The sequence below is a fragment of the Homo sapiens genome, chromosome 4 (genome assembly GCF_000001405.40).
Source record: "Homo sapiens chromosome 4, GRCh38.p14 Primary Assembly".
Taxonomy (NCBI): domain Eukaryota; kingdom Metazoa; phylum Chordata; class Mammalia; order Primates; family Hominidae; genus Homo; species Homo sapiens.
This window is the reverse complement of record NC_000004.12, coordinates 47,845,452-47,861,183: the sequence shown is the minus strand read 5'-3', so window position 1 is coordinate 47,861,183 and position 15,732 is coordinate 47,845,452. Positions and strand designations below refer to the sequence as shown.

The following is a 15,732-nucleotide window of genomic DNA, read 5'->3' as shown; positions in this document are numbered from 1 at the left end:
GTTTGTTAAAACACAGATTGCTGGGCCGGGCATGGTGGCTCATGCCTGTAATCCCAGCACTTTGGGAGGCTGAGGCGGGTGGATGACCTGAGGTGAGGAGTTCGAGACCAGCCTGGCTAACATGGTGAAACCCCGTTTCTACTAAAAAATACAAAAAAAAAAAAATAGCCTGACGTGGTGGCATGTGCCTATAATCCCAGCTACTCGGGAGGCTGAGGCAGGAGAATCACTTGAACCCAGGAGGCGGAAGTTGCAGTGAGCCAAGATGGCGCCATTGCACTCCAGCTTGGGCAACAAGAGCAAAACTCCGTCTCAAAAAAAAAAACACAGATTGCTGGGCCCCCCTCTAGAGTTTCTGATTTTGTAGGCCTGGAGTAGGGCCTACATTTTGCATTTCTATTAAATAGTAAGCAATAGTGATACTGTTGGTCCAAGAGCACACATTGAGAACCAGTGTCAGCCAAGAAGTATATCACTTTGAATCTTTGTACTTCAAAGTTAAGGTATGGGATTCTGGTAAATTCTGATGTACTGATAAACTCTTATTTATGTTCTTGTTTCTTTCCCATACTGTAGATTGTTACAGGCAGGGGACTATGTCATATTTGTCTTTGTATCCAGTGCCTGTTACACAGGTTGTACACATTAAGCCACTGGTAAATGTTTATTGAATGTGAATAAAAGAATAAATTGTGGGAGTGGCATAAGCATATCCTTCCAGCTCCACTGTGTCTCTGATACACACTCTATGGATTATTAGGTTTGAATTTAACTAAATGAAAACATAAGGATGTCGTTAAGAACATACCTTTAAACTGTGCCCCACATATGCATTTCTGCTCTTTCTTAAAAGAGATATAAAGAGGAACAAAATGGAAGTTTTATTTTATTTTACATGGTATGGGGCTTCAGTTATTTTATTTTTTTTAAATGTTCAAAGTTTTTAATTGATAAAATTTTGTATATTTACCATAGGCAACATGTTTTGAAATATGTATACATTGTGGAATGACTAAGTTGAGTTAATATATGCATTTTTTTATGGTGAGAACACTTAAAATCTCTCTTGGCAATTTTTAAGAATACAATGTATGTTATTAACTATAGTCATCATTTTGTACAATAGATCTTTTGAGTTTATTCCTCATATCTAACTGAAATTTTGTATACTTTGACTAACATCCCCCCAATCCCCTTCTGTCCTTCAGTCACTGGCAACTACCATTCTGCTCTTTCACTTCTACGAGTTCAGTTTTTTTATATTTCACGTATGAGTGAGATCATGTGGTATTTCTACTTTTTTTGTTTGTTTGTTTTTTTTTTTTTTTTTTTTTTTTTTTTTGAGATGGAGTCTCACTCTGTTGCCTGGGTTGGAGTACGGTGGCGCAATCTTGGCTCACTACAACCTCCACCTCCCAGGTTCAAGCGATTCTCCTGCCTCAGCTGCCTGAGTAGCTGAGATTACAGGCGCCCGCCACTACGCCCAGCAAATTTTTTGTATTTTTAGTAGAAACGGGGTTTCACCATGTTGGCTAGGCTGGTCTTGAACCCCTGAACTCGTGGTTTGCCCACATTGGCCTCCCAAAGTGCTGGGATTACAGGCGTGAGACATTGCACCTGGCCGGTATTTCTGCTTTTTAAAATTATTTATGAATTTGGTTGTCTCATTCCCATGCAAGCTTTTCTACTTTTTACTTGGGAAAATTATTTAACTTCTGTGTAACTGAACTTATTCATATATAAAATGGGGCACTAATAATACCCACTTCAGAGTGCTGAGTATTATATGAGGTAATAACATGTAACGGACTTAGTTAATGGTAAGCGCTATATATGTGGTAGCTATGGTGATTATGATTATCTACAAATAATATTGTTCTACAAGTGTTTCTTAGTTCTTTTGAAAGAGGGCTTTTCCTATTATTGGAATTAAAGTGGAACGTTTTGATGCAGACAGTGTTGTTTGTAGGTAAACCATTTGGTATGACTTACTGAAGTGCTAGCAGAATGATGTTGAGGGCTGAGTAGAGTAGAAAAAACCTGTCCCACTTTGATTGGGAAGGGTAACACATCTCATCTCTAAGTGAATATTTTAGAAAGACCTCTGTTTTTTGCTATGAAATCTGTAGTAAAGATAACCATCATTTTATCTTATGCATTCAAGTCAACTTTCTTTGTAACTACTTTTCAGTTTTTTCAGAATATAACCTGGCTTTTGAGATGACATATACTTACTTACACATCTAACAGGAAAATGATCACATGATTTAATTTTTTTAAGCAATGAAATATCACATATATACCTAAAAATACATAATATAAATATGTATAGTTTAACAGTTAAAAAGTGAATACCATGTTAACTCTACCCAGGCCAAAAAATCAAGTAATGCTGGCATACCAGAAGTTTACCAAGGTCCCTGTCTGACTGTAGTTCCCATCCTCTATCCTATAGGGTGACCACCATTGCCTTTTTATAGTAATCCTTTCCTTACTTTTATTTACAGTTTTTACTACCAGTATATATATCTGCAAACAATATTGTTTGCCAATGTTAAAAGTTTAAAAGTATGCACTTTTGTGACTTGCTTATATATGTTTGTCATTTTTAATTGCATTTTAACAGCTACATGCTGTAGTCCACTGATTCCATTGTATAAGTTTGTTTTACTGTGGGTGGACATTTGAATAATTTCCAAATGTGGTTGTTATCAAAAATACTGCTGTGAACATTCTTGCTTTTGCATCCTGGTACATATGTGCACAGATTTCTGTAGGCATGCAGTAGTGTAATTGCTTGGTCATAGGGAATGTTTAATTTCAACTTTAATAATATCAAATTGATTTCCAAAATGGTTGTATCAATTTATAATCAGTAACTTTTCCAGTTACTGAAAAGTATCAGAAAGTTTTTCAACTTCCCATTGATGAAAGTTCTTCCTCTTTCGCATCCCTGCCAACATTTTGTGTGGTCAGCATTTTTTATTTTTGCCAGTCTTTTTGCATCTCATTGTGGTTTTAATTTACATTCTCTGATTACTGGTGAGTTTGAATACGTTTTCAGGATTAGAGGTGTTACTTTTGCCTGTGGGACATATGTTGGATACCAGCACAGTGTACACCTAGATGAGTTTCAGTTTTCCTAGTTGCAAATTGCAGAATCAATTTTGGCTTACTTATGGGAAAAAAAGGAGAGAGAAGACGTTGTGGGGAGTATATGGAAGACATTGGGGAGCAATTCACAGATTCTGAAGGAAATGCTATACAGTCAAGCTTTGGGAAAGGCAGGATCTCTGCATCCTAAGGGGGCTTTACAGTGAGATGACTACTTAAACCACCATCTCGCTCTTTTAAGTTTTTAGATTCCCGAGAGAGAAAACCTAATAGACTCACCATGGATCCAAGGGCTCCTTTTGGCACAGGCAGCCACAGTCAGGGAACTAGAACAGGTAGCATAGCCATGGCTGTGGCTACTGGGGGAATTATGGTGAACCAGGCAGCCATCCCAATGTATGTCTTCTACAAATTTTACCAGTATGTGGCAGGGTCAAATGAAGGGTTTAGAGAAAAAAAGATACATTTATTGAAGGCAGAAGACCTAGCCAGAGAAAAGACAGACTTTGAAGTCGTCAATGAAATTGTGAAGATGAGTATGAGGTCTTTTAGGAGGCAGAAAGATATAACATCAAGACCAGTGATTTTTAACTTTTCATCAACCCCCAGCGCAACAGAATACTGATTAAAGTGAAAGGCGACACTATAGCCATGATCCTATGTATTTTCAAAAGGTCTTCCTTTATTGAATCTGATAAGCTTCCCTATTCACTTTCTCCTATAGAATCATTGATTTAAATGATAGATATCAGAGACTGAGAAGGATTGGGGGAAGGGGATGAAGTGATGTTGATTAAGGTATATTTCCAAATAGCTGGAAGAGAGGACTTGAAATGTTTGCAAAACATAGAAGTGATCAATACTCAAGATGATAAATACCCTCAAATACCCTGACTTGATCGTTACACATTCTATGTATGTAAGAAAATTACATGTGCCCTATAAATACATACAAATATTATGTATCAATAAATATATAATAAATTTGAAGTGGAAGGGTTAGTTACTTTTTAAGAGAAAATGACTAATGTAATTACCTTAGAGATTAATTAAGGAAAGAGGATATAGAGACGTATTTTGAGAGTAAGAATAAGTGGTGAGCTAATGCCAAATGTTTATGAAGTCTGGCTAAAGGCACTGGCAGGAATGAAGGTAAGAATGAAATTAAGCAATACAAAGGCTTGAAACAACCACTGTGAGGTAAGTGTTTGAAAATGAATAAATATTGAGCTTATTAAGTAGTATTCAGTGTCCAGTATTAGATAAAGGGAAAAACAAAACTGAAATCATTCAGAAATACCTGGACTTACTCTATTAATAGCAGTTCTCTGCCCTATAGTAGGATTAGTGGAAGTGCACAGTGTGAGTGATCTGAATTTAGTTTTAGTATGAATGCCTCAGCTAAAAGTTAAAGAACAAAAAACCTAATCACACACTAGAAAGAGACTAAAGACAATGGAAAAGGATTCTAAATTTCTTTGAGTGGAGTCAGTAGTTTGAAAAATCAATCTGGTGAATCATAGAGATCAGTAATTAGAGAATTTAAATGTTTACTGAGGGTTCTACTATTTGGGAGGGATCTTTGTTAGGGATTATGACATGAGAGACACAAAGAAATGCAGATGTTCCTCAGTTTATGGTGGGCATATGTCCTGATTAAATCCATTGTAAAACTGAAAAATTGTTTTAAGTTACACCACCGTAAGTTGATGACTGTCTGACCATTGCCCTCAAGGAACTTATAATAATAACAACTTTTATTATAATAACTAAATATACTGAACTCATTTAATCCTCACAACAGCTTTATAAAGTACTAATACTCTTTTACATGTGAAATTTTACATGTGAAACACAGAGAAGTCAGGTGACTTGTCTAAGATCCTGTAGTTAGTAAACAGGTAATCTGGGACTCAGTTCCAGGTAGTCTGACTTTGACATTTAACCCCTAACAAATAGTGTATTTTATTTGTTAGGGTTGGAGAGACAGAAATATATGAAGTGCCTAAAAAAAATTGTTTTTTTGCAAAATTTCAAGACACCACAAGCAATGTTACAACAGTTTAGAAACAGATTTCTTAACTACTATTATGTATTTATGTATAGGCAGATTTATATCAGGCCATTATGGTGATTTAAGTCATGTCTTAAAGTGTGGATAAGATTTGAATAGACAGAGAGACCATGAACATTTCATCTTAATGCTTGACTAGGATAGGAAGACAGTAAACAATTAAAGACACGGAGCATAAACATCATGGCAATTACTGAGTTGTTTTGGCTACCTAAATAATATTTTTTTAATATTAGTAGAAAGGGTAAATGTTGTAGAATAAAAGGCTAAACAGTTATAACACCGTATAAGGACAGGGCATTTTCTTTTTTGTTTTTTTTCCCACAGTGCAGTACAGGGAAGGTAGGTGTGTCATTGTATTCCATGTGTTCACCCATGAATCCAAGTCAGCTGGCAGCTCTGCTCTCTTTGGCATATGGTTTCCATTACCGCTCCAGCTTTCATCATATCCAGGACATGGGGAAGAGAAGAACATGGAAGTATACTCTTGAAATGATCTGAAGCATGAATCACCTGTACTTGCTTACATTCCATTGACCAGAACTCAGTTATATGGCTATAACTAGCTACAAGGGTGGCTGTAAGATGTACTGTTGGAATGGAGCTGGGGAGAATAATTAAATATAATTAAATTATATATATATAATTAAATTATATAAGTGTAATTAAAATAATTTATATCTAAAAGAAAAATAGTTTACAAATTATCCCATTAGCTAGGATTGATTGACCCTTTGTGTGATGGACTCTCTTAAAATTGTTGGGGTATGGGGGAAACTAGAGTATGATCAAGATGTAAGTATGTAATTGCTTTATTTTGATTTTATTTTAGCTTCCTTGTGGTCATAGATGCAAAGAGATGTGTCATCCTGGTGAATGTCCCTTTAACTGCAACCAGAAGGTAAAACTTAGATGTCCTTGTAAAAGAATAAAAAAGGTAAATATTTTAAGTTATTGAAAATACTTTTCTATATAAGTTGTTTTTGTGTGGTTTTCTTGTTCTTGTTTTTTGATCTATGTGTTTTGGTAGTTGTTTGGCTTTTTTTTTTTTTTTTGCCTTTTAATTTTGAGGTTTTACTTCATAGAACTTTTTTATTATTGAAATGAGCCTACTAGTTCTTTAAACATTTATTTTAAACATAAGCTTTGGCGATTTAATTTTCTGCAATTTAACAGTAAAAGGAAAATTATTTTTTATGTTGGAACCAAATTCAATGCCCTGTTTTGGTCAATGTGCTTTAGATTTGAGGTCTTTGAACAAGGAACACAATGTAACGGGTAGAATGTTTCATTGCTTAAGAAATGGCTTGAGATTAACTTTGTTGCTGTTATTTATGAAATTCTTTTTACCATCAGTATTGTCCTTTGAAAATATTGCCTTAAAAAGACCTCATATGAATAGCCTTATAAAGTAAAATAACATGTAAACTTGGAAAGAACTAATTTTAAGATAAAATGATGGTAACAGAGGAGTAAATGGGCAAAAACTAATGATTACAAAGCCTGATGGAAACAAACTATATACTGCTCAACAAAACTTATGAAGGAAAATATACTGTCCTAATAGTCTTTTTCTCAATTCTCTGTTTCCTTGATCTTCCCTGTTGGCAGTGCTTACTCCTTTGAAACCAACTTTTTTGACCTCTGATTTACCCTATCTCAGTTATAGTCGTAACTCCTTTTTTTTCCTTCATATTCCTATTGTCATTCCCTAAAGCTTGTCTTTTTTGTCTCTTGAAATTCGCTTTTATTCATCCATGTGATGGATATGTATTGAGGATCTTTTATAGGTCCTTTGCCTTTCATTTATGTTCATAGTTTCTGATATGTTTTCCTAGGATAGGGAACTTCTGAATTTAAATTTATACACTTGGCCTTTTAGGGAGTGGAATCTTTAAGTTTTAGATATTTAAATTGACCCCCTGTACCTGAAAATAAATACTTGGTCAAGCCATTTTTAATGTGAGATGTCTCTTAAGTTTTCTCTGAAATCTCATGTCTTGTCCAAGTGCCATATGCCACCCACCCGTTAGTACTTTGGAACAACTCTTTTCTGGGCTTTGGCCACAACTTCGTGACCCATTTCCTTGTCTCTAGTCACACCACTTCCCTGTTCTAAATTCTTCAATGGCTCTTCATCACTTATGGAAAAAGTGCATTGTATAAAAAATGTGTATGTGTAGGTATATGCAGACTCGGCATACCAGGGAGGCTATGATAAGACATTTGCCTGCTTGTTCAGTCTCGTCATCTAGCAATCATCTCTGTGAATCTGTTACTTAAGTGCCCTAATACATATATTGTACCCTCGCTTAGCTTAGGCTGTGGCAATGTATATATATTTTTTTCCTGTGTAAAATACAATATGTTTTTCCTTTAGCTCTCTGCTTACTAGAATCCTGCTAATACTTATTGGAAGCACTTCCTTGTTTGAGAAGGTTTTCCTTCCCCAGGTTCCCTTGGGAAGGCTTAGCTGTTCCTTCCTCTTGACTTTCTTTGTACTGGGTTCATAATGTAGAGCTTTGTGATTCTAGGTATCTGTAACCTTGTTTCCTCATCTGTAAAATAGAGTTTATAGAGATTTATTGAAAGGAATAAAAGAGGTAGTGCTTACATAGCATTTAAAACAATGCTATGTTTAATAAATAGTAGCTGCCATTACTATAAAAGAGGTAGTGCTTACATAGCATTTAAAACAATGCTATGTGTAATAAATAGTAGCTGCAATTACTATTGTTATTTATTTAGCACTTAACAGATGATTATACTGTTTATTTCTTACTGTGTTCCATTTCCCTGTCATGGTGTTTAGCATGTTATAGGCACTCTGTAAGTATCCTCTGAATGAGAAAAGATAAAATCCTCTTCTAAGCTGATGGACTTAATGTCTATAAACACACGATACTTATTTTTGTCTCCAGTGTTTGTTCATGTTAATTTTCTTATGTCTGGACTGTCTTTGGAGGACAAGACTATGTTTATCACTAAATCAAGCCAAAAATGAAGAACTAAGGAATAAAAAAAAAAAAACCCTCCAAGTAATAAAATTCCATGCCATAAAATGCTTTTACTAAATGCACTTTACTCAGGATTTGGTAATCTCATGTCTAAGCTGTGGTAGATTTGAACAAAAAACTAGAGTCTGAGGGTCTGGTGAGACAGGAGAAACTGATACAAATTAAATATACTGAGAGTAAAAGTGACATTGGCAGCAATAAATGAATGAATAAAAGATAGATGTACTACAAAAGGCAGTCTAAAACTAATATAAAGACCACTCTTCAACTCAGTAGGTCATCGTTTTATTCTGTCGTAGTACAGAAATTGGTCATAGTTTTGATGTCAAGACATCAAAAACAGTAGATCAGTGTTCTTTCATTAAGGAGGTAGTGAAGTGCCAACATAAGCTTTAGAACAATTTTCATCTAAACTTAAAAAAAGTTTAACAGTCGAGAGAAAAATTTGTAGCTCCCCAGAAAACTCTCTAGAGCTGCACTATCTGAGATGGTAGCCACTAGTCACATGTGGATATTTAAATGCAAATTGTAATGAATTAGCATAAAACAGTATTAAAAATTTGGTTCCTCATTTTCACTACCCACATTTCAAGTGCTCAGTAGCCATATGTGGCTAGTGCTACTCTGTGGACTAATGCAGATTTACAACATTCCATCCCACGCACATACCAGGAAGCTCTGTTGGACAGCACATTTGTAGAACATTGTATTCCCTGGACACTTTGCAAGAATAACAAACAATAAAGAAAAGTAAAGAATAAAAACAACATGGGAGCTAAGTCCAATAGTGGCACATAGTAATTATTAAGTTGATTTTTAAAAATTTTATGGTATTCTCTTTTTTAAGTTAAGAGAAAATAAGCAAGTAATCACTATTTGAAGCAGATATTTAATGCTTGCAACTATATCATCATTAAATATTAAGACATCAAATAATACTTATAACCTTAAGCTATCAGATGAACTTTGCTTTTTTATGGCAGACAGGTCTTTGAGGGAAAAATCATTTAAAATTTGAAAATCGGGTTGTTTGTAGGAATTGCAGTGCAACAAAGTACGTGAAAATCAGGTTTCAATAGAATGTGACACAACGTGCAAGGAAATGAAGCGGAAAGCATCTGAGGTAATGTCTCGTTAAATATCATTTTAAAGACTAGTGGCCTTTCCCTTCTTATTTTGTGCATTTATGTACTTATTAAAAACAACTTGAAATCTCATTTTTTTGCTTTTATAATAAAAGCCTAGTTTTATAGGCTTATTTTGAATGGCAGATTGGGATTTTCATTGCCTAGTGTATATGAAGGCTTTTCATCTTCTATGCCCGTTATAAGATTTTGAGATTCTTTGCTGCTTGGGTTATCTCTAGTGTTACTCTTCCCCTCCATCAACCCAATCAGTGACCTCTTGATTTTGTTTGAAAGTAAGGATTCCCTTCCATGATAGCACATTTAAGATAAATTTAACTCTAGAGAAACAGCAGTATTTAATAATTAATTCTAGATTCTTAATACAGCAACTCAAGAGGAAAAAAGGCAGTTTTAAAATTTGCTGTTACAGTGTTTTAACTCTTTGAATTACGATGTAATACCGATTTTACTTGTTAAGCTGAGATGCTCATATAAGGTATAACACTCCATCCATGACCACCTTCAATTTATTAGATAGTGCCTTGGTAAAACCTTGTCTCAGTATAGCATTTACATTTCTTTAAATGATTTCAAGCTCCTAAAAGTTGATATGGGTTAATAGAACCTGGATGGGTAGATGTTAAAATTCCATATAAAATGTGATGACTAAATTGTAAATTGACTTTTGTATGTGTATAAACAGATAAAAGAAGCAGAAGCCAAAGCTGCTCTTGAAGAAGAAAAACGAAGACAACAGGTAACCAAACAAAATACCCAGATTTATGTCTCTTAGCATCATTGCTAGATTTTGTGCAAACACGGGGTATATTCCAAGGTCAAACTAAGGTCTAGTCTCTATTGTGAACTGAAAATAACAGTTCTTGTAAAACAAAAATGAGCCATCTACTAACTTGACTTTAAGTATACTGAAACTCTGAAAAGGTATGAGATCTCATATATTCCCAAATTTTTTTTTTGTATTTCCAATTTACTTTCTTGCCAATATCATCCATACTTCAGCCAGAAGAATTTTAATTCCTCCTTTGGCTGGGGAGTGAGAGTGAGCGAATCATCACCATTGTAAGGCATCTTCTGGAGACCATGACTTTACTTAACTAAAAGTATTTGAGTTCTATTTTACTGAGTTGCAGACCACCTATAACAAATAAGTGCAGTTTACTAATCAGTACATTTGTTTTAATAATATATTCCCATATTTCCCTATTAGATCTTTAAATGCGGGATTATAACCTGTTCTTTGTTGTTACCTAGAGAACAAGTACATTCCTGATACTCCCTGTTTAAGTATTTACTTTATTGATCATACACTTGAAAGAGTGGCTTGACTTTCTAATAGTGATGTATAACTTTTTATTATTATTTGTCAGTTTGTATCTTGAAATGCTTTATACTTATCAGATTGTATTGTGTGCTAAGCTACTGCCTTTATGAATGATGAGATTGAAACTTGCGTGATTTGCATGAATAAGGAAATTCAAACTTTGATGAGTTGTAGGAACAATTAGAACAATTAGGAACATTAGAAACAATTCATGTAGTAAATAATGGTTGGCCAAGGTGACCTTTGAGATTTTATGGTTCTGTAAAGTTGATTTGCCTGATATCCCCAAAATAAGTTATCAGAGCTAAATAGTAAAACATAAGTTGGCTGGAATCCTAGGAGATTAAGTTATTAAGAATAGTTTAGTATGTTTTCTCCTTATTCCCTTTGCTATCTTTTTATAAATCATCATGGATGAAAATCTTAGATACATTCCCTGTTTACTGACTCTTTAAACAGAATATAATCAGTCCTTAGTATATGTAGGTTCTGCATCTGTGAATTCAACCAACCACAGATCGAAAATTTGTTTCAAAACAAGTAAAAAAAAAAAAAAATAAATAATACGCATTTTAAAATACAGTGTAACACCTATTTACATAGCATTTACATTGTTATTAGGTGTTATAGGAAATCTAGAGTGATTTAAAGTATACAAGAAGATGTTTGTGTGTTATTTGCAAATCCTCCACTATTTATGTAGAGACTTGATCATCCTCAGGTTTTTATATCCAAGGGGATCCTAGAACCAATTTCCTACAGATACTGAGGGATCACTGTATACAGCACATAATATATACTTGGTGACTGTGAGTCACCATTTAACTGTCAGTTATTTTACTGTGTCTGTAGTCCTCAAGTTTGCCTGCTTTTAAGATATTTTGACGTTTTTTATATGTCAGAAACTAACCACTTGGGAGTAGTCTGACATTTTGGCTCATTGAAGAATGCCACTTTGTATTAAACTAAGTTTATTATTAGATCTTTTTCAAGTGTGGTTTATGACCACAGTAATGGATATGTGAACTAAAGTTTACATTTCCTCCTATTAAATAACCATTTACAAAGTTTTAGGTGGATATTATTAAATACATATATATTTTAACTATTGTCTTAATTACCTATGCACTATAGCATATTATATTACATTATTATGTGTAAAAGTTTAATAAGTACTTAGCAGTAGGATAAAAATCCCCATTTGATATTGAATGCAATTCAGTTATCGTCTTTTAGTACTAGTTTAAAATTTTTATGTCTAAAATAGTCATTTTGATTTTAAAGCATGAAGAATTTTTTCCTTTGAAGAATTTTTACTATTTTTAAAAAATGTATTTGGTAGAGAAGAATCGAGTTCTGGCAGCTTTTTTCTCTTTACTCACTTGAATTTCTTTCTTAAAAGCCACTAATGTTTATTGCATGCATTGTAAACAACTAGAATTATAGGTATCTTCATTCTCACTAGGCATCACAGCACTTGCTAGAAGCTTTATAGAATGCTGGTTCTATAATAATTGGGTTGAAGTATAATGGTGTCAATGTATAAGACCAGTGTCTATATTTTAGAGCATCCTGATTTAATAAGACGTTTTATTTTATTTATTTATTTATTTATTTTTTTGAGATGGAGTCTCTCTCTGTTGCCCAGGCTGGAGTACAGTGGCGCCATCTCGGCTCACTGCAAGCTCTGCCTCCCTGGTTCACGCCATTCTCCTGCCTTAGCCTCCCGAGTAGCTGGGACTACAGGCACCCGCCACCATGCCCGGCTAATTTTTTGTATTTTTAGTATAGATGGGGTTTCACCATGTTAGCCAGGATGGTCTTGATTTCCTCACCTTGTGACCCGCCTGCCTCAGCCTCCCAAAGTGCTGGGATTACAGGCGTGAGCCACCGTGCCCGGCCTAATCAGACATTTTAATATTTAGTATCATAGTCAGCCCTACAGTTTGAAATATTCTCTTCTGTTATCTCCCAGTCTCCTTTCTGCTTACCTAAACCCTGAATTTGTTGAATACAATCAGTAGTGGAGAGTAGTGTTTTAAAAAATCAAATCAATATATTGACTATATATCATTACTATTAAAACATTACCCAAATTGATTTTTATGTAAATGGAAACTTTCAAATCAATGTATGCATTGAATTTAATTAAAATGATGCTGTTTTTATTTAGGCTGAACTAGAAGCTTTTGAAAACAGACTGAAGGGTCGTCGGAAGAAGAACAGGAAAAGAGATGAAGTGGCAGTTGAGCTATCACTATGGCAAAAACATAAATATTATCTCATTTCAGTGTGTGGAGTTGTGGTTGTAGTGTTTGCCTGGTACATCACCCATGATGTCAATTAAAAAAAGTTTTGATCTTTTAATGTAACTCAGATTGGATTTAGATAAGTTGTTAAATTTGAAATATTAGAAAATGTATATTATAGAACATGATATATATTTACATTCATCTCTGTATTCTCTCAGCTGTTGTTAGAAGGACAGAATGTTAAACTTTATCTTAATTAGTATACTAGAAAGGGCAGTATAATACTGTTTTAAAGTGAAGGCATGACTGAAACTAAAATATTTCATAAGGCTTAGCTAGAGGCAGAGTAACGTGTTTTTGTTCATTGGGCTTCCTTGTACTTAGTTTTTTCATTTAATAATTCAAACCAACACTTTTAAAAAAATAATTCAGATGAGACTGAGCCATATCTGCAGTAAGAGAAATATTTCTTAATGTTTTGGTTACTTATGATAGAGTACTTTTCTTGATACTGTTAACTTTGTGCTTTTTAAAAAAAGTGATTCTCTAACAGACCTCTTAAATTGTGACATGAAGGTATGTAATTAGATTTCAGAAATTGGTTTATTAGTGAGGAATTTTTATCAATAAATGTCATGGGGCGTGTTCTTCAGAATATATAGTTATTTTCAACAAATGCCAGGCTAGATTCCTCACATGTGGCTATTTCTTATGTAAGAAGCTTTTAACTGAAGTTGGCATGTTTCGTAAAACTTGCGTGTCTTTTAAAAATAATAAAAGGAAGATGAGTATTTATGAAGAATATGTGCTGACAACAGGGCTTATGAGGTCTATGTACCTTAATCTCGTTTCTCCTTACCACAATCTTAAATAGATTTCAGCTGAAAATAATCAGTTCTTATGAAAACAAATAGAGAAATATCAGTAAGTCAAATCTGTTTGAATTATAATTCCTTTCAAATAGTTTTGCTATTTAATTTATATGATTAATGTTTTCATTAAAATTTTTGATACCAAATTTGTAATCTAGAATATTTATTATTAGCTAAAATATTCAGGAGCCTATAATTTTAAGTTAGGCATTAGTGTCAATGTATGAAATTCTGATACTTCATGTGGAAGACAGTCATTGATGGATACCTAAAAGTATCTAAAAAGTAGATATGTTTTTTTTATTATTATTATATTTTTATTATTATTACACTTCAAGTTTTAGGGTACATGTGCACAGCATGCAGGTTTGTTACATATGTATACATGTGCCATGTTGGTGTGCTGCACCCATTAACTTGTCATTTAGCATTAGCTATATCTCCAAATGCTATCCCTCCCCCCTCCCCCCACCCCACAACAGTCCCCGGTGTGTGATGTTTTCCTTCCTGTGTCCATGTGTTCTCATTGTTCAATTCCTACCTATGAGTGAGAACATGCGGTGTTTGGTTTTTTGTCCTTGCGATAGTTTGCTGAGAATGATGGTTTCACCTTCATCCATGTCCCTACAAAGGACATGAACTCATCATTTTTTATGGCTGCATAGTATTCCATGGTGTATATGTGCCACATTTTCTTAATCCAGTCTATCATTGTTGGACATTTGGGTTGGTTCCAAGTCTTTGCTATTGTGAATAGTGCCACAGTAAACATACGTGTCCATGTGTCTTTATAGCAGCATGATTTATAATCCTTTGGGTATATACCCAGTAATGGGATGGCTGGGTCAAATGGTATTTCTAGTTCTAGATCCCTGAGGAATCGCCACACCAACTTCCACAATGGTTGAACTAGTTTATAGTCCCACCAACAGTGTAAGAGTGTTCCTATTTCTGCACATCCTCTCCAACACCTGTTGTTCCCTGACTTTTTAATGATTGCTATTCTAACTGGTGTGAGATGGTATCTCATTGTGGTTTTGATTTGCATTTCTCTGATGGCCAGTGATGATGAGCATTTTTTCACATGTTTTTTGGCTGCATAAATGTCTTCTTTTGAGAAGTGTCTGTTCATATCCTTCGCCCACTTTTTGATGGGGTTGTTTGGTTTTTTCTTGTAAATTTGTTTGAGTTCTTTGTAGATTCTGGATATTAGCCCTTTGTCAGATGAGTAGGTTGCAAAAATTTTCTCCCTTTCTGTAGGTTGCCTGTTCACTGTGATGGTGGTTTCTTTTGCTGTGTAGAAGCTCTTTAGTTTAATGAGATCCCATTTGTCAATTTTGGCTTTTGGTGTTTTAGACATGAAGTCCTTGCCCATGCCTATGTCCTGAATGGTATTGCCTAGGTTTTCTTCTAGGGTTTTTATGGTTTTAGGTCTAACATGTAAGTCTTTAATCCATCTTGAATCAATTTTTGTATAAGGCGTAAGGAAGGGATCCAGTTTTAGCTTTCTACATATGGCTAGCCAGTTTTCCCAGCACCATTTATTAAATAGGGAATCCTTTCCCCATTTCTTGTTTTTGTCAGGTTTGTCAAAGATCAGATAGTTGTAGATATGTGGCATTATTTCTGAGGGCTCTGTTCGGTTCCATTGGTCTATATCTCTGTTTTGGTACCAGTACCATGCTGTTTTGGTTACTGTAGCCTTGTAGTGTAGTTTAAAGTCAGGTAGCATGATGCCTCCAGCTTTGTTCTTTTGGCTTAGGATTGACTTGGCAATGCAGGCTCTTTTTTGGTTCCATATGAACTTTAAAGTAGTTTTTTCCAATTCTGTGAAGAAAGTCATTGGTAGCTTGATGGGGATGGCATTGAATCTATAAATTACCTTGGGCAGTATGGCCATTTTCACAATATTGATTCTTCCTACCCATGAGCAT

The 15,732-nt window shown here is 34.5% G+C and overlaps 1 protein-coding gene and 1 long non-coding RNA gene across 6 annotated transcripts in view; one reads left to right on the top strand and one right to left on the bottom strand.

Annotated features, from left to right (window-relative positions):
* Positions 1 to 13,951, top strand: part of NFXL1 (nuclear transcription factor, X-box binding like 1) — a 67,435-nt gene extending 53,484 nt beyond the window's left edge. For 2 of the 4 annotated variants that reach the window (NR_103795.1, NM_001278623.1), the window contains 4 exons: positions 6,021 to 6,125; positions 9,242 to 9,328; positions 10,036 to 10,089; positions 12,848 to 13,951. Coding sequence is in view for 3 of the 4 variants with exons in the window: in NM_001278623.1 (NP_001265552.1) it covers positions 6,021 to 6,125; positions 9,242 to 9,328; positions 10,036 to 10,089; positions 12,848 to 13,021 (420 nt within the window). In the remaining variant the exon portion in view is untranslated. The remainder of the gene's footprint in view (positions 1 to 6,020; positions 6,126 to 9,241; positions 9,329 to 10,035; positions 10,090 to 12,847) is intronic. The other 2 variants (NM_152995.6, NM_001278624.2) reach the window with 1 other exon arrangement.
* Positions 1 to 15,732, bottom strand: part of LOC101927179 (uncharacterized) — a 65,504-nt gene that overhangs the window by 35,665 nt on the left and 14,107 nt on the right. The window lies entirely within an intron of this gene.